The sequence below is a fragment of the Homo sapiens genome, chromosome 15 (genome assembly GCF_000001405.40).
Source record: "Homo sapiens chromosome 15, GRCh38.p14 Primary Assembly".
Taxonomy (NCBI): Eukaryota; Metazoa; Chordata; class Mammalia; order Primates; family Hominidae; genus Homo; species Homo sapiens.
This window is the reverse complement of record NC_000015.10, coordinates 33,985,809-34,009,691: the sequence shown is the minus strand read 5'-3', so window position 1 is coordinate 34,009,691 and position 23,883 is coordinate 33,985,809. Positions and strand designations below refer to the sequence as shown.

Here is a 23,883-nt window from a genome sequence, read left to right as displayed (position 1 = left end):
TTTTGATTGACCTTTTTATTATTATGTAACAGCCTTCTTGGTCTTTATAACGATTTTTGTTTTAAAGTCTATTTTGTCTGATATTTATGTAGTCATGCTAGCTCTTTAGTGTTTGCATAGAATTTTTTTATGCTTTTTCTTTATTTTACTGCTACTTGTATCTTTGAATCTAAAGTGAATCTCCTGTAGACAGCTGTAGTTGGATATTGATTTTTTAAAAAAATCTATGTTATAGGCCCAGCAATACAATTATACACATATTGTTTTATAGAATTGCTTTTAAAATCAGTAAAGGGAAGACAAGAGAAGAAATATGCATTTATGTGATATTTTATAGTTACATAATTACTGGTTTTTTCATGTGGATTTGTTTTTTTCATGTGGATTTGAATTGCTGTTTAGGACCACTTGTTTTTAGTTTGAAGAACTTTGTTAGTGTATCTTGTAAGGTGGGCCTGTTAGAGCAAATTTTCTTACGTTTTGTTTATCTGGGAATGTCTTTTTTTCACCCTCACTTTTGAAAGATAGCTTTTTTGTATGTAGGATTCTTGGCTGACAGTTTATTTTTTTTCCTAGCAACACTTTGAATATGTTATATTATTGCCTTCTGGCTTCCGTTGATTCTGATGAGAAGTTAGCCATTAATTTTCTTTGGGTTGCCTTGTGATGAGTTGGTTTTTCCTTTTTCTTGATTTTCAGTGTTTTCTCGATGGTCTGTGTGTGTGTGTGTGTGTGTGCGCGCGCGCACGTGTGAGTGTGTGTTTTAATTTTATCTTAACAAAATGGAGTGGGTCTGCAGAATCCTTGTTTTTGGCTTTTAGCTTTTTTATTATGTATCTATGAATCTCTTTGCATATACACTAGAAGTTCATTGAGCTTCTTGGATGTATAAAGGTTTTTCATCGGCTAGGCACGGTGGCTCACGCCTGTAATCCCATCACTTTGGGAGGCTGAAGCGGGCAGATCACGAGGTCAGGAGATTGAGACTATCCTGGCTAACACGGTGAAACCCTGTCTCTACTATAAATACAAAAAATTAGCCTGCCATGGTGGCACACGCCTGTGGTCCCAGCTACTTGGGAAGCTGAGGCAGAAGAATGACTTGAACCCGGGAGGCGGAGGTTGCAGCGAGCCGAGATTGTGCCACTGCACTCCAGCCTGGGTGACAGAGCAAGACTCTGTCTCAAAAAAAAAAAAAAAAAAAAAAAGGTTTTTCATCAACTTTGGGAAGTTTTCAGGCATTATTTTTCTTCTTTTTTTTTTTCTTTTTAAGAGACACGGTCTTGCTCTGTCCCCCAGGCTTCAGTGCAGTGGCACAATCACAGCTCACTGCAGCCTCAAACTCCTGGGTCAGCTGATCCTATCACCTCAGCCTCCTGAGTAGCTGGGACAACAGAGGTACACCACCATACCTGGCTAATTTTTATCTTTTTCGTGGAGATAGGGTCTTGCTATGTTGCCTAGGCTGGTCTTGAACTCCTGGCCTCAAGCAATCCTTCTGCCTTGGCTTCCCAAAGTGCTGGGATTACAGAAGTGAGCCATGGTGCCAGGCCCACCCATTATTTTCGACTATTTTTTTCTCCTGTGATAGGTGATTTTTTCTTCCAAGAATTTTGATAGGTTTAAATTCTAATCTGCAGTACCTCTGAGTGTGATCTTATTTGGAAATAGGTTGTTTGCAGATGTAATCAAAGATAAAGTAAGGTCTTACTTGATTAAGGTAGGCCCTAATCCAGTATAACTCATGTCCTCATAAGAATGGAGAAGATGCACACCCATAGAGGAGAAAATGCCATGTGAAAATGGCAAAGGAAGGAATGCTAAGGTTGCCAGCAACCACTAGAAGCTGGAGAAGGTCATGGAATAGATTCTCCCTCAGAACTTCCAGAAAGAGCCAACCCTACCAATACCCAGATTTCAGATTTCTAGCCTCCAGAACTGAGAGAGAAAAACATTTCTGTGGTTTTAAGCCATCTAATTTGTGATACTTTGTTATGGCAGCTGTAGGAAAGTAATACGGTACCAGGAAATGGGGTGTTGCTCTAACCAATACCTAAAAGTGTGGAAGTGGCTTTGGAATTGTGTAGTGAGTAAAAGCTGGAAGAATTTTAAGGTGCATGATAGAAGCAGCCTACGTTGTCTTGAAGATACTGTTGGTAGAAATATGGACATTAAAGGCGACTCTGGGTAGGTCTCAGATGGAAATGAGGAACATGTTAATGGACACTAGAGGAAAAGCGTGCCTGGTTTGAAAGTGGCAGAGAATTTGGCTGAATTATGTTCTGTACAGTTCTAATATGAATATGTAAGGGGCCGTCGGCTCTTCTGTTTGGAGAATGACATGGAGTTATCATGACAATTCTTATTATTAGAAAGTTGATTCATTTTTTTATTTCATTTTTTCATTTTCATTCTGCAGAGCAGGTGAGGTCAAAAATGACCCTTGCCTATTGGAAAAGCTGCAAAACATTAAGCTACTCTTTCTAGTTGAAAATCTCAATTTGTTTTAAATGGATTTGTGTGTGTGTGTCATTGGACAAGATAATAGCTCGGCAGTAGTTTGATTATATAATAGGTCTTCAGCTTATTAATCTAAATGGATTCCTGTTAATCTCTGAACAATGCAACCAGTGACCGATGTCCAGGTATGAACTATTACAGTGAAAACCACCAGACTAATTTTGTAACAATATTTATATGAAAATGATGCCTTTATCTTTATAGTTTTCACCTTGTTTTCTGATCAGTATTTTATTTGCTCTGTTCTTTTTCTCCATATTGAGGCTTTGCATATTTTTATTTTGTCTCACATCTTTGCACAATGAACCTATAAAACCTCTAGTTTTTAAGATACATCTTTCAGTTACATCAAATGTCTTCTAAACTTTTTTATTATTATATTACTTCTTACTACTCTCTTGTGAATGAAGGCTAATGACAACTCTGTCTCTGCATTTGTGTAGGGGTAATGAGATCCTTGTTCAGTGGTTCTTCTAATTTGGGGACTGGTGAGTTATTCATATGCATAAGGATCAGCCTATTATAAACACTTGGCAGGACCATTAATTCGGTTTAGGTCTCCCACTTTCCATTTCAGTGCTTGTTTCACTGCATTAATCGTTCCTTAGGTGTTTTAGATCATAATCCTCTTTTAGATCAAGGTAATTATTTTGCCCAGATTTACATTTTTGCCATGTGTTACAGCTGTGTTCAGAGGTTTTATAGGTTTTATACTGACTGGAGAAGCCTCTCTGAACTCTGTTCACCCAATGGGCCAACAAAAGAATATTGAATTTTCCCAGACAAAACCCTGCTGGTGTTTTCAGCTCTAGTTCTGTCCCGCAAATTCTCATCAGTTACAAGGCTGTTTTTTTTTTTTTTGAGACGGAGTCTCGCTCTGTTGCCCGGGCTGGATTGCAATGGCGTGATCTTGACTCACTGCAAACTCCGCCTCCTGGATTCACGCCATTCTCCTGCCTCAGCCTCCTGAGTAGCTGGGACTACAGGTGCCCGCCACCATGCCCAGTTAATTTTTTGTATTTTTAGTAGAGATGGGGTTTCACCATGTTAGCCAGGATGGTCTCGATCTCCTCACCTTGTGATCTGCCCTCCTCGGCCTCCCAAAGTGTTGGGATTACAGGTGTGAGCCACCGTGCCTGGCCAAGGCTATTTTCTGTAGAATGTTCCTGGTATTTGTTATTTACATAGCAGATTCTATTATATCTCTTTAATCTGCCAGCATCTTTTGGTTCTGAGAAACTTGCAGGAATGCTCTAGTTTTCAGGCAGTCTTTGCAGTCCCTAGATCATAATGTAGAACGCCATCTTTTTGTTTTGACAGGGAGGCTTATGATGATATTTGTGGGCTGAACGTGATCTTGAAAGGCCAATTAGTCTATTTCATGAAAGTGTATGAAAGTTGATTCAGGTGAGGATTATTGACTAGTGTTAAATTTGTTAAGTGAATGGTTGGGGAACTAGAAATTTACAGTGGATCAAATAACACTGCACAAACAATTTCCTCGATGAAAGAGGGAAGACATATCTGTACAGTGGGTGAGTGGATCAGACTTCATTATCCAAACCCTGTGGTCCATCTTAGTTATTATATATAGTGCTTATGTTTGTTCAGCCATCTTATGTGCTGTAACAAAGGGTTCAAAGCAGCATCTGTATTTTAGCCAAAAATATTTAGCTTGACTCCATTGAGCACTTACATTTTTAAGATTAGTTTATAGATAATATTGGAGATAAAAAAAATCTGTAAATAATACCATGAGGAAGCAAACAGACCTAGCCTGGCCTTGTCAATAAGTCAGGGTCGTAAAAATAGGGACTGTGCTAGATTCAAAGAGACTTAAGGAATAAACAATTAGATACAATTCCTGGTCCTGGATTGGATACTGTCTTGGAAAAACCAGCTGTATAGGACATTTTTTGGGTTACGGAAATTTGGAACTAGCCTGGATGTTATATGAAATGAAATTTATTAAGTGGAGAGATGAAGAATATTTTTTAAAAATCTAGTGACCAAAAAGAAGTATATATAAATATATACATAGAAAAAGATCTGGAAGTATGTGTACTGAGGGGTTAGTGGTACTCTGTGGGTGAGGGAATTTGGGGTTTTTATATATTTTAGTTTTGCTTGTCTTTTCCTCCTAATTTTCTCCAGTGCATATGTCCTGCTTCTGTGTTAATAAAAGCTCATTATTTTTTTTAAGTCCACACTAACCCATCCTATACAGATGAGTTGTTTTAATAATTTTACTCATTTTTTTCTTGATAAGGATTTTGTAATGTTTGGGACACATCTTTGAACCATGTCTTTAGATTCTACATGCATCTCTGTTTTAAAAATTTAATATTCTATTATGAAAAAATTTAAATACATGCAAAAGTAGATAGAATAATAATACAGTGATTTTCCATGTACCCATCATCCAGCTTCAGCAATTACCAATTAAGTATAGTATATTTCATGTCTATCCACCATTCCTCTCCACCCACTATTTTGGAGCAAACCTCACATGTCCTATCTTTTCATCCATAAAGAGTTCAGTGTTTATATCTAAAAGTTAACAACACTTTAAAAAATTGCAATACCAGTATTATAACAAACAAACAATAAATTAGTGGTATTTCCTTAATATAATCAAATATCCAGTCATTATTTACTTTTTCCCAGTTGTCTCATAGTCATTATTTTCTCTAGATTGTTCAAATCAGTACAAATAAGTTCCCTACATTACAACTGATTATGCCTTAAGCTCTTTTGGTTTATAGGTTTCTCCATCCTCTCCCACCATTTTTTTCTCTTTCAGTTTATTTATTGAAGAAACTGGGTTCCTTATCTTCTAGAATTGTTCACATTGTGCATCTTTCTGCATGCTCTCTTAACCTTTCAGTGCCCAATACTGGAAACTGTTCTCTAGCATGCATCTGAGCAGGGTTCCTATTTAAAAATCTATACAACATAGTCAGTTGTAATACAGGGAACTTTTTTATACCCAAGCTTTTCTATTGAATTAAGATTTTGTGCTAGCTTTTTTCTAGGAGCATTGTGTATGTGTGTGTGTCCACATGTATACAACTAGTTGCTCACACAGACGCTACCTGAACAATCACACAGGCAAGTTGTAGAAATTGAGCCTGGAGAGTGCTAAGAGAGTACCTGAGAGGGCACTCACAGAAGGCTATCAAGGGCAAATGAAGTGGCCTTGACTTTGTCAGTAATTTGTCTCCTCTCAATATTTAAAAATAGATTTGAGTCAATATATAACATCAGAATGTTCATTAATCACCTATCTGGATGGTTCTGGTCATAACATGTATTTATTTCAAACTCAAGTTGTTAATAAGAAGTACTAAAACAAATGTAGATGTGGAATGGTTTTCATTATTCTAGAGTATGGAATCTTATGTATAAATGTAGTACCATGTAAATTCACACTCCATTTCACAAGTCATTGTCCCTCACTATATGTAATAGTGTTTTCCTAGTAATATATGTTTAAGTTAAATAGTTTTAAATAATGTCATACTTTCATTGCTCTAAAAAATTAAATAAAGCTTTTAAACATGTTTATGGAATGTGTTTGTAAAATCCATATCCATAAATTGAAAGGGAGAGTTGATTTCCATCCTGAAGTCCTTTGAGTTTAAGATGCTTACAGCCTTGATTATTTCAACTGGATGAAGCAACTATTGAAATAGGATACATAGGGATAAATTTTAGAGATCAGCTACACAAATGTTTAGGCAGCTGCTTGCTAGATTTCCTTTTCAATGATTACTGGAAAGTTCACCCTAAAAGAACACTCTGGTATAGTGTGATTCTCTTAAAATAATATTTAATATCTTCAGACAGCTTGGTCTATTGCTTTTTATTGTTATGTCCATGTACTTTTTTGTTTTACTGGGAAGTCTACTAAGGTCAGGATTTCCACTGCTTACTTATTGATTTGTCTCTAATGATTGCAGGTTGAAGATGACAGCGATGCAGAGACCTATGGAGAAGAGAATGATGAACAGGGAAATTATTCTAAAAGAAAGATTGTCTCTAACTGGGATCGATATCAAGATATTGAAAAAGAGGTCAATAATGAAAGTGGAGAGTCACAGAGGGGAACAGATTTCAGTGTCCTCCTTAGCTCTGCAGGTATGAATTCCAGTTGCATGCATACTGTTTAGTGCTCTGAAAGTTGCACAGACATTTTATATATGTTTTTAAATTCTACTTTTATAACTAGCAATTTATCCTTTGTTCTTTGGATTTTTAATTCAAGTAAAGGACAGTGTTTCTAATGGCTTGTAAGGGAAAAAAATGAGTTTAAGTGGAAGTAAGGGTTTCCATGTACCGATGTAGAATGACTAAAGTCTTTGCGATAGATAAAAGGCTTTCTATAAGTGGAAAAAGCTGAGCCATGCTGCTGTAAATTTGATAGTCTGAGAAACATAAATGTTTTCTTTGATATTGGAGGAAACATTCCTTATATTTGTAGGAAGCATTATAAAGTTTCTAGAATATATGTTCTCTTTTTTTTCCTTTTTTTAAGTAGCCAGGTATATACATAGTAGTGGATATGCACATATTGGAGCTATATGCACTTGAACACCAAGTTTTTGTTTTTGCTTTTGGATAGTCTTCTCTGTCAATAAAGTGAAAAACCCAGCCTTTCCGTGATCAGCTGTAATCTAAGATTGATTGCACCTTGAGTGATGTGATGCTGGAGAGCAGTAACAGGGAAGAATGGAGGAGTGCTGGGTGTACAGATGGCTGCAGGGTCCCTACTGAGGTGTGGCGTAAGAGTTTAAAGAATAACTGGAAGATAGATTAGTGATTTCCAGGTGTTGGGGATGGGAGGGTGGGAGGCGGATGTGCTTATAAAGGGGCAGCGTGACAGATCCCTGGGATGCTGACACTGATTAGTATCTTGACTGCGGTGGCAGATACACGAACCTACGCAGGTGATAAAATTGTGTAGAACTTAATATACACACGTGTGCACAAATGAGTATGAATAAATTTGAATAAGATTGGCAGATTGTATCAGTTTCAGTGTCAGTCTTCTGGTTGTGATATTATATTATGGTTTTGCAAAATGTTATCATTGGGGTAAACTGGGCAATGTGTACAAGAGATCTTTCTGTATTATTTCTTTATAACTGTGTGTGAATCTGCAATTACGTCGCTAAATAATTATTGCCAGGTTAAAAAGATATAAAGGATGCAGATGTGAGAAGCAGGGAAGTAAAACAAAAATAATACTTTGGGACTGCTTTGAATTTTTTCTTCCTCATGACTTTGATGTTGCTGTTTAGTTCTACCTTTCTTCTTTATCTGCCTGTATTTTTGAATGCTGGCACCAGACTAAGAACAATAAAGTGATGCATTCTCTTCTAACTTAATAGAATGTGCTTTTCCGAGCAGGAAAGAAGTAGATCATAAAATTGTGAGTCAGGAGCACAGGATTCGTCATTACCGTAGATGATTCAAATAGCATAACTTCTTTAGGTTTGTGGATTGCTCTCAACTCATTGACTGTTCAAGAACTGGTAACACTAAATAATTTTTCCTGTAAAATGAGTGCTTCCCTCTTGGTACCTATATTTTGGCCAATTATGGGTTTATAAGCACTTTTCTTCAAGGTGGGAGAAGGGGAATGAAGGTAAAATATGAGCTGGTTAGTTTTAATTCTCAACAGCTGTTCTGCCAGAAGATCTAGGGGGAGAAAATTGAAGTAATACAATGAAATTAACTTGTGGACTAAAGTAGATTTAATTCAATCAGTTGTGTAGTCAGTTACTAGTATCTGTCAAAAAAAAGATACTTCATAAATGTTGGAAGGCAGTTAAAAATTCTAGTCCAGGCTGGGCATGGTGGCTCACGCCTGTAATCCCAGCACTTTGGGAGGCCGAGGCAGGTAGATTGCCTGAGGTCAGGAGTTCGAGACCATCCTGGCCAACATAGTGAAACCCCGTTTCTACTAAAAACACAAAAAATTAGCTGGGCGTGGTGGCGGGCACCTGTAATCCCAGCTACTAGGGAGGCTGAGGCAGGAGAATTGCTTCAGCCTGGGAGGTGGGGGTTGTAGTGAGCTGAGATCGTACCACTGCACTCCAGCCTGGGCAACAAGAGCAAAACTCCGTCTCAAAAAAAAAAAAAAAAAATTCTAGTCCAACCTAGCAGGCCTGTCCTCTGGTTTATGATTTTGGTTATTTATTTTAGCATTTTATATATAATTAAAAACCTGGCATGGATTGAGTCTCTCATGTATTTTTCTTGTAGTCTCTTTGCTTACTGATTTCTTCTGAAGTGGCTTGTTTATCTGTGATTGGTTTTGGTTTTTTTGGTAATTGCAGCTGTCTTGTCTTTTGATATGTGCTTACATTTCTTTCCCACTCTGTTGCTGATTTATCAGTTTCTTCTCAGGATAGCATAAGACTGAGAAGAGCTTCCATGCTTTCTTCATACTCAGTGTTTTGGTGCTATATTGGTTTACTTTCGAGAGGTCAACTTCATTCTCTGATAATAAAAATTCTAGAGTATGCAGTGTTTTCTAGGTAAGCTGACCATACTCCTTGAAACAATTCTGCTTTCTAGTGTACTATCCTTGTTTGTATAAATAAATAGACAACTGAGAAAAAATATTGTTGGTTCCTTAGGTGTGCAATCATAAACTTTTCTAGATATTGCCAAATTGCTTTCCACGGTAAAGATGAGAGAGTTCCTGGTGTTCGTCATCTCTGCAAATAGCTAGTACTGTTGGACTTTTAAATTGTGACCAGTTGATTGAATGGTATCTAGTGTAGTTAATTCAACAGATATTTAAGTACCCATTGTTCCAGCTATTGGCTTAGAGGCTGGACATAGAGTGGTGAACAGAACAGATATAGACACCTGTCTCACAGAGTTGACTTTCTAGAGGGTAGAGACAAACAAGAAGAGTATATAAAATGTTAAATGCTATAATTGCTTAGAATAGAAATAAAATGAGGAAGGGCTGTTAACCAGTTTTAGAAGTAGCCAGGGGTCTTACTGAGAATATAACATTTGAGCAAAGATCTGAGGAGGGTGAGGGAGCAAGTGAGGATATCTATGGGAAAAGTGTCCCAGGCAAAGGGAATAGCAAGCTCAAAGGCTTTGAGATAGGAGGATAGGGAATCGCAAGGAAGGCCAGTGTGGCAGAAGCAACGTGAGCGAATATGCGATGGGGTCAGAAAGGCATTATCCAGCCAGATCGCGTAGTATTGTAGACCATTGTAAAGATGTTTTCTTTTATTCTGAGTGAGATGAAAAACCAGCGGAGGGTTTGAAGAGAAGAGTGATATAACACTCCTGTGTTAACAGGATCACTCTGCTGTGTTGGAAGGAACTGAAGACTGGCAAGAGGGGAGCGGGTAGACTAGTTAGGAAGCCACTGCTACTACTAGTAGCAGGTAGACTAGTTAGGAAGCCACTAATAATAATCCAGGTAAGCAGCGGTGGTGGTTGCTGGGTCCAGAGGAGAGCAGTGGAGGTGGTGAAAAGTGGTTGGGTTAGATCTACGTAGAGAGAAGAGCAGAGAGCACTTGCAAATGCTGGGTATGAGAGAAAAAGATACGTAAGGATGACACTAGGTTTTGGGTCTGAACAGTGAGAAGAAGGGAGTTGCCCTTAACTGAGGTGTGTAAGTTATAGGAGGTACCAGTGTTGCATGTATTAAAAGTGAGATGTCACTTTGATACCTGTTGCAGTCAGAATTCCTTAATAAATGGCTGGCACACTCAATATAATTGAACACTTTGACAAAGGAATCATTTACAAAGGTATGTGTAGAGTCTAATGAAAGCACTGAGGTAGTGCTGTGTTGAGAGGGCAAGTAGCGGCAGAGATGTTACCACCCTAGTTACTGGAAATTTGAAGGGAGTCATAGAGAGTTGGCCTTGGGAGAATGAATCACCTTCGGTGAGGGGACTCAGCCAGTGAAGATGACCCCACTCTGAGAGAGTCAGAGGAATAAACATTCTCTTCCTCCCTCTGCCAAGGCTTCCATAAGTCTAACCTACTGGAAGCCAGAAGACAAGGGAAGTTGTAATCCATATTGGTCAACCTTCTAGGGTAGAACAGGTTGGAGAAGGGTGGAGGATAAATCTGCATTGGCACATGGAAGAGACCCAGCACAACATCTAATAGGCGACATGGAGCAGGCTGCTGGATAGAGGAATGTGGGGTTCAGGATCCAGGCCTGGGTTGGCAATAATACATTTGGGTGATGCCAGCCTATAGATGATATTTAAAGTCGTGAGAATGTATGAGATGACAGGGGGAGTTATTACCTAGAGAAGTACTGATTCCCAGGCACCACAGTGTCTAGAGTTTAGGGGAAAGAGAAGAGACCAGCAAAGGAGACTGAGCATGAGTGGTAGAAGAAAGAACCAGAGAGTGTAGTGTCTTTAAGTGTTTTGAAGCAGGAGGAGAGATCTGTATCAAATGCAGTTGATGACAATGAAGAATTGACTGTTAAATTTAACAGGAAGGTTATTGGTGATCTTCACAAGTGCAGTTTTGTTGGAGTGGTGGCATAAATTTTTTCTTGAATTTAAAAAGAATGTGGGAAGAGATGTTTGAGACAGCAGGTATAAATGACTTAATTTTAAGGAGTTTTGTTATAAAGGAAAGGAGAATAATGGGCTGGTGGGAGAAGTGAGTCAAGACTTTTTAATTTTTTCTTTTTTTGGCATTTCTTTTGTAGTGACAGGGTCTTCTTATGTTGCTTAGGCTGGTCTCGAATTCCTGGGCTCAAACAATCCTGCCTTGGCTTCCCAAAGTCCTGGGATTACTGATGTCAGCCACTATGCTTGGCCAGTTAAGACATTTTTTTAAAGGTGGGAGAAATAACTACATGTTTACTTGTTGATAGATCCAGAAAAGGGGACAAAAATCATAAGGGGAGGGGTGAGAATTCCTGGATCTGTGTTCTTTAGTAGATATGAGCTTGATAGGATCTATTGTGCAGGTGGAGGGATGGCCCATTGCTGGGGCTTGGGCAGTTTTCCAACTGTAATTGGAGGAAAGGCAGAATATATGGGCATAGATATGGGTAGATGGGTAGATGTCATGGAGGCTTGAGGAAGTGGTCTAAGAAAACCATGGATAAGTGTTGTGGAGGAGGTACTGGAAGTGGAAGGAGAGAGCAGAAGGTAAGAAATAGTTGTCAAGGAAGTGGGAAAGTATAGTTTCCTATTTTCCAAGTAGGAAAATGTGGTATAGATGTTGGGTGACAATAGGGGCCCACATGAAGTTGGTATTCATAAATTTAAGGTGAGAACAGGTATACTTTTCCCTGACTCATATTGTGCTGTATGGGTGCAGGCCCAGAAAGACCGGACGGAAGGGTAGGACTTAATCATGATTACAGTTTAGCAGAGCAAATGCAATGAAATGAGAGAGGGAAAAGGAGATGATTAGAATGATTGAAATGAATTTAAGTGGGATAAGGAAATAAGTGAAGATATGAGAGAAGATGAGGGGCAGTAAAAAGATATTGGGATCACAGGACTACAGATTTTTTCAGGGCAGAAGGATTATTGACCTTCTTGAGAAAGTGTGAGTTGGAGAGGTGGGAAGTGGTGGCTGTAGATTAGAATGTTTGACGTTGAGATTTGGTGGGGCAGGGGGTTGCGGATGACGGTAATGATATAGTCTTATATAAAAATACGGGTGTGCCTGGCTGTGAGTTGGTGTGGAGACCTCGTCTTTGGAGTTTTTAGTTTACATTTCCTTAGTTATTACTGAGGTTGAACATCTTTGTATTTGTGGTGCTTGCTTTCTTTGTGAACTGCTGCTCACATTCTTTGACCATTTGGCTATTTTGTTTCTTATTGATTTGTGGGTTAAAAAAAAAGTAGTCTTGATACTTATCTTTTGATATTTGTGTTTGCAGGTATCTCCTGATATGAGATTCACTTCTATAGTGTGTCTTTCAGTGCATTGTTTTAAATTTTAGTTGAATTTATCAATTTTCTATCCTACTGTTTATGCTGTTTTATGCCTTTAGAAATCCATCTTTCTCCCAAGGTTAAAGATGTTCTCCTATATTTTCTAGAAGTTCTAATTTTGCTTTTTTTCCTGAAGAATGTTACATTTTATTGTTTGCTACATTCTTGTGCCATGGTTTTCAGCCCCATCGGGTAATTTAAGGTCTTCTCTACGCTGTTTATTCTAGTTAGCCATTCATCTAATCTTTTTTCAAGCTTTTTAGCTTCCTTGCGATGGGTTCGAACAGCCTCCTTTAGCTGGGAGAAGTTTGTTATTACCAGCCTTCCGAAGCCTACTTCTGTCAGCTCATCAAAGTCATTCTCCATCCAGCTTTGTTCTCTTGCTAGCGAGGAGCTGCGTTCCTTTGGAGGACAAGAGGCGCTCTGGTTTTTAGAATTTTCAGCTTTTCTGCTCTGGTTTCTCCCCATCTTTGTGGTTTTATCTACCTTTGGTCTTTGATGCTGGTGACCTACAGATGGGGTTTTGGTGTGGATGTCCTTTTTGTTGATGTTGATGCTATTCCTTTCTGTTTGTTAGTTTTCCTTCTAACAGTCAGGTCCCTCAGCTGCAGGTCTGTTGGAGTTTGTGGGAGGTCCACTCCAGGCCCTGTTTGCCTGGGTATCACCAGCGGAGGCTGCAGAACAGCAAATATTGCAGGACAGCAAATGTTGCTGCCTGATCCTTCCTCTGGAAGCTTCGTCCCAGAGGGGCACCCGCCTGTATGAGGTGTCAGTCGGCCCCTACTGGGAGTTGTCTCCCAGTTAGGCTACATGGGGTTCAGGGACCCACTTGAGGAGGCAGTCTGTCGGTTCTCAGAACTCAAACACTGTGCTGGGAGAACCACACCTCTCTTCAGAGCTGTCAGACAGGGACGTTTAAGTCTGCAGAAGTTTCTGCTGCCGTTTGTCCAGCTATGCCCTGCCCCCAGGGGTGGGGTCTACAGAGGCAGCAGGCCTTGCTAAGCTGCAGTGGGCTCTGTCCACTTCAAGCTTCCCCAGCCACAATGTTTACCTACTCGAGTCTCAGCAATGGCAGACGCCCCTCCCCCTGCCAGGCTGCTGCCTCACAGGTCTATCTCAGACTGCTGCGCTAGCAGTGAGCAAGGCTGTGTGGGTGTGGGACCCACCTAGCCATGTGTGGGATATACTCCTGGTGTGCCATTTGCTAAGACTGTTGGAAAAGCGCAGTATTTGGGCGGAAGTGTCCAGATTTTCCAGGTACAGTCTGTCATGGCTTCCCTTGGCTAGGAAAGGGAAATCCCCTGACCCCTTGCGCTTCCAGGGTGAGGCAGCGCCCCGCCCCGCTTCAGCTCGCCCTCCGTGGCCTGCACCCACTGTCCAACCAGTCCGAATGAGATGAACCAGGTACCTCAGTTGGAAATGCAGAAATCACTGTCTTCTGCATTGATCACGCTGGGAGCTGCAGCAGCATTTTAAAAACCCAAATGATATAATGTCCCACTAATGGCTTATGACCTGCAGTTTGGTGTGGTCTGAAGCATCTGATTCATTTAGTCATTTCAGTAACTTCGAAAAATGTCTGAGCAGAAACTCTTTAGTTTAATTAGGTCCCACCTGTCAATTTTTGGTTTTGTTGCAATTGCTTTTGAGGACTTAAGGACTCAAAAGTTTTCCCTTGGTATCCAAGAGGGATGGTTTCAGGACGCCTGTGGATACCAAAATCTAGGAATGCTAAGTCTCTGATATAAAATGGCAAAATATTTGCATATAACCTATGCAAAAAGTATAGATACCTTCCTTTATATACTTTAAATCATCTTTAAATCACTTATAATATCTAATGCAATGTAAGTGCTATGTAAAGTTATACTGTATTATTTTTTATTTGTATTTTTATTGTTGTATTGTTATTTTAAAATAATTTTCTTTATTCATTTATTTTTAGAGAGACAGGGTTTTCCTCTGTCACCCAGGCTGGAGTGCAGTGGCATGATCATAGCTCACTGCAGCCTTGACCTCCTGGGCTCAAGCAATCCTCCTGCCCCAGCCTCCTGAGTAGGTGGGACTATAGAGGTGTGCCACCCACACCTGGCTGATTTCTTCATTTTTTTGTAGAGACAGGACCTTGCTGTGTTGCCCAGGCTGGTCTTGAATTCCTGGTCTCAAGTGATCCTCTCTCTTTGGCCTCCCAAAGTGCTGAGATTACAGGTGTGAGCCACTGTGCCTGGCCAGTATTATTATTTTTTATTTTTAAAAAATATTTTTGATCTATGGTTGGTTAAATCTACCAATGTGGATGGTTGCCTGTATGTTATTTTTTTCTTCCCAAATTAGCTGGACCTCTGGTCCAATTCTCAAATGTTATTTGGAAGATAGACCTTTATCTAAGAGTACACCTTTATCTAAGAGTAGAGAATATAGAACTTCAAGAGTAGAGAATATAGCTTAACATATATTCTCTAAGTAGATTTCCATTGTAACAGTGAATTTTTGAAGACTTGTAATTAAAAAGTGAATTTCTATTTCACACACACTGTATGTATATGTCGATGCTCACTTTGGAAGATAGTTTGCCATTTTCTGATAAAACTGAAGATCTAGCACTTTCACCCTTAAAGGATACTCTAGAGCAGAGGTCCCCAACCTTTTTGGCACCAGGGACCGGTTTTGTGGAAGACAATTTTTCCACAGACCAGGGTGAGGATGACGGTTTCAGGATGATTCAAGCGTGTTACATTTATTATGTGCTTTATTTCTATTATTATTACATTGTGATATGTAGTGAAATAATTATACAACTCACCATAATGTAGACTCAATGGGAGTCCTAAGCTTGTTTTCTTGCAACTGGATGGTCCCATCTGGGAATGATGGGAGACTGACAGATCATCAGGCCTTAGATTCTCATAAGGAGCGTGCAACCTGGATCCCTTGCATGTGCAGTTCACAATAGGGTTTGGCTCCTATGAGAATCGAATGCTGCTGCTGATCTGACAGGAGGTGGCGCTCAGGCACTAATGCAAGCAGTAGGGAGTGGCTGTAAATAGAGAAGAATCTGCTCACTTGCCCACCACTCACCTCCTGCTATGCAGCCCGGTTCCTAACAAGCCACAGACCGGTACTGATCCATGGTCTGGGGGTGGGGGACCCCCTGTTCTAGAGAAACTCCAGCACGTGTGTGCCCAAATGTTCACAGCTGTATGTTCAGAAGAGCCTCAGATGGAAGCAACGCAAATATTCATTAATAGTGGAATGAATACTTAAATAAGTGGATGAATCTTTTCAACATAGCATGAAGTAAAAGAAACATGCCCACAGAATTCGTTAGTATGATTCTATTATATAAAGTTCAAACACAGGAAAAAAAAACCCTATTTTTTAAGGATGTATATTTAAATACTAAAGTGACAATCAAGGAAATGATTATTCCAGATATCATGATTGCGGTCACCTCTAGTGGGGAGATGAGGTGTAATGATTGAGGAGGGCCCGGTAGCAGGTGTGGTGTTGGCAGTATTCTATTTCCTGGCCTGGATGATTGTTATTTATGTTGGTTTAATAATTATTCTATAAGCTCATATGTATTATCAATTTTTTATTTTACAGATCTCTTTATAAAAGGAATAAAACTCTTTAAAAGTGGATTTCTAATGGTAAAATTTCTGTTACCACCATAGAGGTGGGAACCATTTTTGGAGAGGCAGCCCTTTCCAGCCTGCCTCCTTCCACTTGTGCCACACGGGCATTGCCTGCTCTGTTTGTTTCTGACCACTGACAGTGACACTCTCATTTTTATTAGTGGTGGATATGGGAAAGGGGACGGTTGTTCAAAGTCATACTTTTTCTGGTAAGATTGTGAGTCTTTAGGTGTCTTTGTAGAACTCTTTCTGTTAGTCTCTGAAAGAGATAATCATGCCTTTGGCTTTTCTTTTTGAACAGTATTCTTGGCAGTTCTAAGTTACGTTTCAAGAGCTTTGAAAATGGCACCCCACTCTTACCTTCAAACGTAAAAAGTAAGATCTATGAGAAATTTCTTCTGCCCTTCATTTTTTTTCCCCAAAAGTCAAATCATTGAATTCATGCAATATGCATTGTCTGTTCCTTTCAAGATGTCACAGATAGCCAGAGTTAGAAAAATGTTTAACAGTGTGAGCAGAATGCACTGGATCAATATTGAAGAAAACGTGGGGAAAATATTATGTGCAAGTCTGTAAACACTATTTTTAGAGATACAAATAAAAACGAAATAACCAGACTGCAGTTTGGTCAGTATAGTTGTTGTCTGTGCATATTTTTGCTTAAAACTATTATATATTTTCTTCAATTTAATTTTATGAAAAGCTATTTTGGGTAGGAAATTTTAATTGTAATGACATTGGAATTTCTTCCCTCCTCTGTTCCTTGTGCCAACAATTAGACTGAAGGGAAAAGAAAGGATATTACTCTAGCAGCCTGTACTTTTAAATTAAACCTCGAACCTTTTCTTTCCATGAGGCAACAAGACAGTTTTATTTGTCCTCATTGATTCAGCTCATTTTTTTCCCTCTTCTTGTATGGTATATAGTTTGTGCCAATATAGTCTCATATTACAAAGGCAATATAGTAGAAGAAGATTCTTCCCTTTGATATTTAAAACATCTGAAATAACACAAACAGAACTATAAATTAAAAAATTTGTTCTGGCTGACAGGGCTAAAAAAATTTTCAATTGGATAACCAAAAAAATAAAAACAAGGAAAACTCCGATAACAAAAAAACTTTTCCTTGTAGCTGAATATTGAATATTGGGCCTAATTTGATTTTCTTTTTTCTTTTTTTTTGAGACGGAGTCCTGATCTGTCGCGCAGGCTGGAGTGCAGTGGCGCAATCTCGGCTCACTGCAAGCTCCGCCCCCCGGGCTGACGCCATTCTCCTCCCTCAGCCTCCCGAGTAGCTGGGACTACAGGTGCCCGCCACCACGCCCAGCTAACTGTTTTGTATTTTTTTAGTAGAGACGGGGTTTCACCTTGTTAGCCAGGATGGTCTCAAATCTTCTGACTTCGTGATCCCCCTGCCTTGGCCTCCCAGAGTGCTGGGATTACAGGCGTGAACCATCGCGCCCGGCCTGATTTTCTTTTTAAAAACCTTCAAAAGATAAGAGCAGAATTTGTGTGCTAAACTGCTAGTCTCCAGCGCCATTTTGTGTTTTCTGTTGTTTTGAAGCAATTCTTTGTTTTTGCTGGTCCAGCTGCATCATTTTCATCATCCTGAACTATCATTTTCCTGCCCTGAAGTTGTGCATTTCCTTTAGCAGATCCAGCCTAGGCAGCTTTATTTCCCTTTCTTTTTCCTTTAAATCTATGACCTTTTGATTCTCATTTGTTTAGAGATTCTTGGTGATTTTGCATGAGTTTTTTTCAGTGTTTCTTTTTCTACCTTTCTGTCTAGTAATTTCCACATCTCTTCCTTGTTTCTTAGTCATAGGTTACAATTGCTGGCTGCTTCTGCTTTATTTAGTGTTTCTTTAGCTTTTTTCTTACATAGAATTAATCTCTCTTTTGCTCTACTGATAAAGTGTATCCATTTTATTTCCCCATGATTTGAGAAAAGGATATGTGGGTGCTTTCTACAGGTCACATTATCTAAGTCATCCCAAAATTTCAGCAAACATTCAATCTAGACATTTCATTTGAGCATCCTCAGCACTTCTGTTTTTTTTTTTTTAAAGTTTATTTTTGTGGGTCCGTAGTAGATATATATATTTACTGGGTATATGAGATATTTTGGTACAGGTATGCCATGCATAATAATCACATCATGGAAAATTGGGTATCCATCCTCTCAAGCATTTATCTTTTGCAGCACTTCCATTTTTCTTCTTGCTCTTGCTTAGCTCTGAATTTAGTTTATACTTTGTTTTGCTTCATTCTTGTTTTGCAAAATAATCCTCCTTGAAAAGTGTTAGAAGGTCTGTATTTTTATACCAGGGTTCAGGGCCAGGGTCTCTATAAACTTTTTATTGGATTTAATACCGTCAAACACTGCACGTGTTGATTGCTTAAATGCTTTGTGTAATGTTTTTCTCATTTGAATATTTAGTGCTTGTCCTTTATCTTCTAATCTTTAAAAGATTAGACATAAAATAATTATGTCATCAGGAGTTGCATCCATTGGGAAGCCTTTCATATGAATGGATCTGGTTTTACATCATTTTTTTCTACTCATCAGTTGCCAGAGGGACATTTTGTACTAATCAGAGGGAGGTTTGTTTGGAAAAATCTTCTGATTTTAGTTTTATCTGTATTTTCATTAGTTCTGCCTTTGATTTGTTCAGTGCTTCTATTATATTAAAATCTGTTGTTAGGTAATTTAACCTGTTGAATTTTGTTATTTCCAGAGGTATCCAGCTTTCATCCAATTTAGTCTGTTCCTTTTAAAAATTCGTCTTACGGCAAATTAAAGTCATCAAAATGATACTTGATTTGATGGTGGTAGGTTTCGGTCCCCAGAGCAGCCATTGTTTTCACTATCACCATTTTTGGCTGCTGTGGTTATCTTTCCGGTCCCAGGCCCCCAGAGCCGAGCCATAGGATCGCTAGCAGAGACTGTACTTTCAAGTTCACATGAAGGACTGTTTATTTTTAAATGTTTATTATTAGATAATTTAAGCTAGTTATACTGGACATGGCTTAATGAGAGAACGTTAGTGAATCTTTTCTGAGTTTAAGTTGTATTCCAGATACTCTTCTGGTTATCAAATGACTTATATTCCAGTTACTCTTCAGTTAGACAACTGGCTGCATCATCAAATCATCTGGGTACTACATTCTTTTCTTTTCTTTTTTTTTTCAGACAGGGTCTCACTCTGTCGCCCATGCTGGAGGGCAGTGGCGTGATCTCGGCTCACTGCAGCCTCTGCCTCCCAGGTTCTAGCGATTCTCCTGCCTTAGCCTCCTGAGTAGCTGGGACTATAGGCACGCACCTCAACGCCTGGCTAAGTTTTTTTTGTTTTGTTTTGTTTTTTTTTGAGACGGAGTCTCACCCTGTTGCCCAGTCTGGATTGCAACGATGCAATCTCGGCTCACTGCAACCTCTGCCTCCCAGGTTCAAGTGATTCTCCTGCCTCAGCCTCCTGAGTAGCTGGGATTATAGGCGCCCACCACCACGCCCGGCTAATTTTGTGTATTTTTAGTAGAGACGGGGTTTCACCATGTTGGCCAGGCTGGTCTCAACTCCTGACCTCAAGTGATCCTCCTGCTTTGGCCTCCCAAAGTGCTGGGATTAGAGGTGAGCCACTGAACCCGGCCTCATCTGGGTACCACGTTCTAATAGCATCTAGTGTATCCGTCTCAATTGCTATTGTCTCTTCTTTGTATGATTATCTTTTAGACTCATACCTCTCCTTAAAAAAATTAAGATAATTTTAGGTGGGTTTTGGGAAGGAGAGCAAATAAATGCTTCTGATCAATGTCATATTTAATTGGAAGTTGATAAATTCTCTTTACTTGATCTGGAAAGATAATAAAAGGTTATTTTTGATAAAGTCCTTAAAGAAAATCAGGGTAGAAGCTCTTCTAAAATAAAACACATGAAACATGAATTCAGAGACTATGAAAAGGGACGGCTGTAGTGTTAGTATTGTGGTAGGAAAGGCATCTTTTCAGTAGTGTGCCTGAAGTGTAGTATATGTGTTTAGGTGGTGGAATAGAAGGAACACTTGGTGGGCGTCAGGGGATCTTAGTTTTGGTTTTGGTTGTCTTAGAACCTTTTTTTTTTTTTTAAACTCCAAACAAAACCAGCTGTTAGAAATAATACCTCCTTGCTTTAATCTAGGGGTAGTTGTGACGATCATGTGGAATTATTTTACAAATTATAAAGTTCTATACAAAAGCTAAGAATTACTTTTTAGGTGAAGAGAAACAAACTGTTGGGTTAGAATATACTGTGGGTCATATTTGAAATTAGGTCATTAACACGGGGCTGTCATGAAAATATCCAAGCATGGTACTAACATATATATGTAATTAGAAAAATAAATGATCATTAACTCATCTTCTCTTTTATTTAGCTTTTTTGTGTGTGTTTGTGTGGGATTTGTTGAACTATTTTAACTTCTGCAACTATAGAGGTGATACAGGGAACTTGAAAGATGATTAAAAATAAGAAAAAACAGGATTTATGATGAAAGGTTTAGGATGCTAAGCAAAAGAAGCCTGAGAAATGGTTTAATAATTTGTGTTTTCCAAGCTGTAAAGACAAAGGAAAAAAAAATCAAATGTGCTTAAACTAAAATACAGGGGATTTAGATTAGCCATTTGTGTTATGAGTGTTAACTGGGCATCCAAGGGATAGTTGGGAAATCACCTTTACTGAAAATCTTTCAAAATGGATTTGGTTTCATTTAATGGAAATGGGTTCAACAATGGTCCTTCTTGCTGCATGGGATAGAGCAAGGTCATTTATCAAGGAGTTTTTTCAACCCTGTAATTCTGTTCTCTTGTCTTTTAATTTTGCGATAATTCTACAGTGTTTTACTTGTGTGTTAAGTGAGCACACCCAGTGTCCTCAGAAGGGTTAGGCTTCATAAATAGGCAAGACGTGTGTGTGTAAATGAGCCCTGTGGCCACTAGTGACCCTGCAACCACAGGTGACCTTAAGCTAACAAGCTGATGGCGGTCATCAGTGCTGTCATTTCCTGAAACCTACCAGTTGCAGGCTGTGTGTGAGATGTGTTACACGGGCACATTCTCTATTTCATTAAATCCTAACTTTAACTTAATAGGGTAGGTTTCATTATCTCTATTCTATACATGTAGAAACTAAGCCTTAGAAATAAAGTTCAACAATTTGTACAAAATTCTCATATCTCTTAGGTAGCAGAATCAGGATTCAAACTTAAGTATGCCTGGCTTCAAGGTTGGAATTTTTTGCACTTGATACTGTTCATTAAAATCGAAATATATTGTTGATTATCTGAAACTAAAAAAAACTATGTTTATTGTATATCACTGTCTAAGATACACATTTTTTGTTTCTGCAAAAAAAGAAGCTGTGTTGTTTACACTTGGTCTGCAGCTTCAGAGAAGGTTTGTGGTTGGTTAAGAAGCTGCCTTTGGGCTGGAGGCAGGCACCTGGACAGAAGCCCCAAGGCTTGGGAGCTGCAGCCAGGCCTCAGGGCACTGCACTGTGAGGCTCCCAGTTGTGTTGGAGGGTGAGTCTTTTGGCCTATGGAAGTTGGTCAGGTGGTTTTCCTTCTTGATGCATTTCACCTCCTTGTGTAGACAGTCACAGAGAATGTGGGTCTGTGTGGCCATAACCCAGGGCATGCAGACCCAGCAGGACCTGGTTAGGGTTTTCCATGGGGCCAGAAAGCTTCCTAGGCATCCAGGGTGTGATCCCACTCATCTTGGGGCAGCTTCTGCATGCAGCGCTGATTATGAATCTTCTAGGCATGCTTGTTTGCCAACTTGTAGCAGAAGTGGTTCCTGCCTTCTGGGGCCACACTGTTGCAGTTGAAACAAAAGCCCAAAGAGAGAAAGAGAGAGATAAATAGAGGAGGCCTGCAGATGCAGGTGGACCAAGCAGCTGGCAGCAGCCTTGACCTCAGTGGAATAATTCTGGTAGATTTGGGAGCTCATGGTTGGAGAAAAAAACCATTGTTCGCTGGCCTGAGAAGAAGGGGATGGGCAAAGAGATGGTCCCAGAGGCTGCAGCTGGGGAGGAGAGTGGAGCGTAATCTGAGGCTGGAGTAGGGAAGACCTTGAGTCTGTGGGTTTATTCCATCCTAACACTGTGGAGGCAAGAGACTGTCTGGTGGCTGTCCATTGTTTTTCTCTTTTCCTTTCCTGGCCTTTCCCTTTCCCTTCCCCTTTTGTTAAATAAAAAGCAAGCCAGCATAATAAATGAATTTGATCTTAGTTTATCAAATGAAAAAACCTTCAAATGTACCTTTTCCAACAGAAAGGTGACATATGCAAAAGAATAAAGCACATATGGGATACTGCATTGTACATTCTTAGTCACTGTCATATGTGGAGTGGGATGGAAAGAATATCCTCACATAATTTGTTGTGAGAATACTGCACTGGTCTCAGAATTTTCAGTGACCTGAGAATGGAATTAATGCTAATGAATTATGAATATATACTGTTTAATTTAGAGGCATTGAGTGGTGAGGATGTCAACATACTGCTTTTCATAACCTGTGGTGAGAATTCCTCTTGGAAAAGTAAATCTATATTTTATCTGTTTATTTAGCACTTGAAAAGAACCTGGGCTGGGCGCGGTGGCTCATGCCTGTAATCCCAGCACTTTGGGAGGCCGAGGTGGGCGGATCACGAGGTCAGGAGATCGAGACCATCCTGGCTAACATGGTGAAACCCCATCTCTACTAAAAATACAAAACAATTAGCTGGGCATGGTGGCACGTGCCTGTAGTCCCAGCTACTCGGGCGGCTGACACAGGAGAATCGCTTGAACCTGGGAGGCGGAGGTTGCAGTGAGCCAAGATTGCGCCACTGCATTCAAGCCTAGGTGACAGAGTGAGACTCTGTCTCAAAAAAAACAAAAACAAAAACCTGATATAGAGCCTTATGGTCATGATCTATTATATCCTGTGTATTGCACATGAAGGAAAATATTGTCTTTAATAATATTACTGCTGGTTTTTAAAAAATCATTAAGTTTCAGAAAGCTTGCTTTCTTTACCTCTTACTTTCTAGCTAAGTAGATAATTAATGTGGTTTTATATTTACCTTTAAAATTCTGTAGTTGTAGAGTCTTCTGCCTTGTGTTTATACAGAGTTTATAAAAATTTACAGTGGGCCGGGCGCGGTGGCTTACGCCTGTAATCCCAGCACTTTGGGAGGCCGAGGTGGGTGGATCACGAGGTCAGGAGATCGAGACCATCCTGGCTAACATGGTGAAACCCCGTTTCTACTAAAAATACAAAAATAAATTAGCCAGGCGTGGTGGCAGGTGCCTGTAGTCCCAGCTACTCGGGAGGCTGAGGCAGGAGAATGGCGTGAACCCGGGAGGCAGAGCTTGCAGTGAGCCGAGATGGCGCCACTGCACTCCAGCCTGGGCGACAGAGCGAGAGTCCATCTCAAAAAACAAAAAACAAAAAACAAAAAAAAAAATTTACAGTGAAATGTGAGGTTTTCACAAATAACCCTGAGAAACAAAAATCAACTTAATAGAATCCTAAATTTGTTATGCCATCATGAATTTCTGCCTCCATGGGGGAATGCTATGTGAGTTAGATCTGTCAGAGAGATATCAGGCACCTGGGCTTTCTGGCATTCTGCCCTTGAGAGAATCATGAACCTTTCAGTATTAGAGAAGAATCCTTAGAGATAGTTTTTTCACTGAACATTTCTTGAACTTCTATTTTTGAACATTTCCTAGAAATTAATAGAATGAA

The 23,883-nt window shown here is 39.5% G+C and overlaps 2 protein-coding genes across 13 annotated transcripts in view, besides 1 other annotated feature; one reads left to right on the top strand and one right to left on the bottom strand.

Annotated features, from left to right (window-relative positions):
* The window catches only part of AVEN (apoptosis and caspase activation inhibitor), a 223,545-nt gene that overhangs the window by 65,634 nt on the left and 134,028 nt on the right, over window positions 1-23,883 (top strand). For all 11 annotated transcript variants that reach the window (XR_007064480.1, XR_007064476.1, XR_002957667.2 and 8 more), the window contains one exon: window positions 6,483-6,660. Coding sequence is in view for 5 of the 11 variants with exons in the window: in XM_047432882.1 (XP_047288838.1) it covers window positions 6,483-6,660 (178 nt within the window). In the remaining 6 variants the exon portion in view is untranslated. The remainder of the gene's footprint in view (window positions 1-6,482; window positions 6,661-23,883) is intronic.
* CHRM5 (cholinergic receptor muscarinic 5) overlaps window positions 1-23,883 on the bottom strand; it is a 98,962-nt gene that overhangs the window by 57,767 nt on the left and 17,312 nt on the right. The window lies entirely within an intron of this gene.
* Window positions 21,347-21,846: an enhancer, noted in NCBI's record as "H3K27ac hESC enhancer chr15:34280047-34280546 (GRCh37/hg19 assembly coordinates)". NCBI's record gives its function as "activates a minimal SCP1, AML or CMV promoter by ChIP-STARR-seq in naive H9 embryonic stem cells {active_cell/tissue: H9 hESC(naive)}" and the evidence as "EXISTENCE:reporter gene assay evidence [ECO:0000049][PMID:30033119]".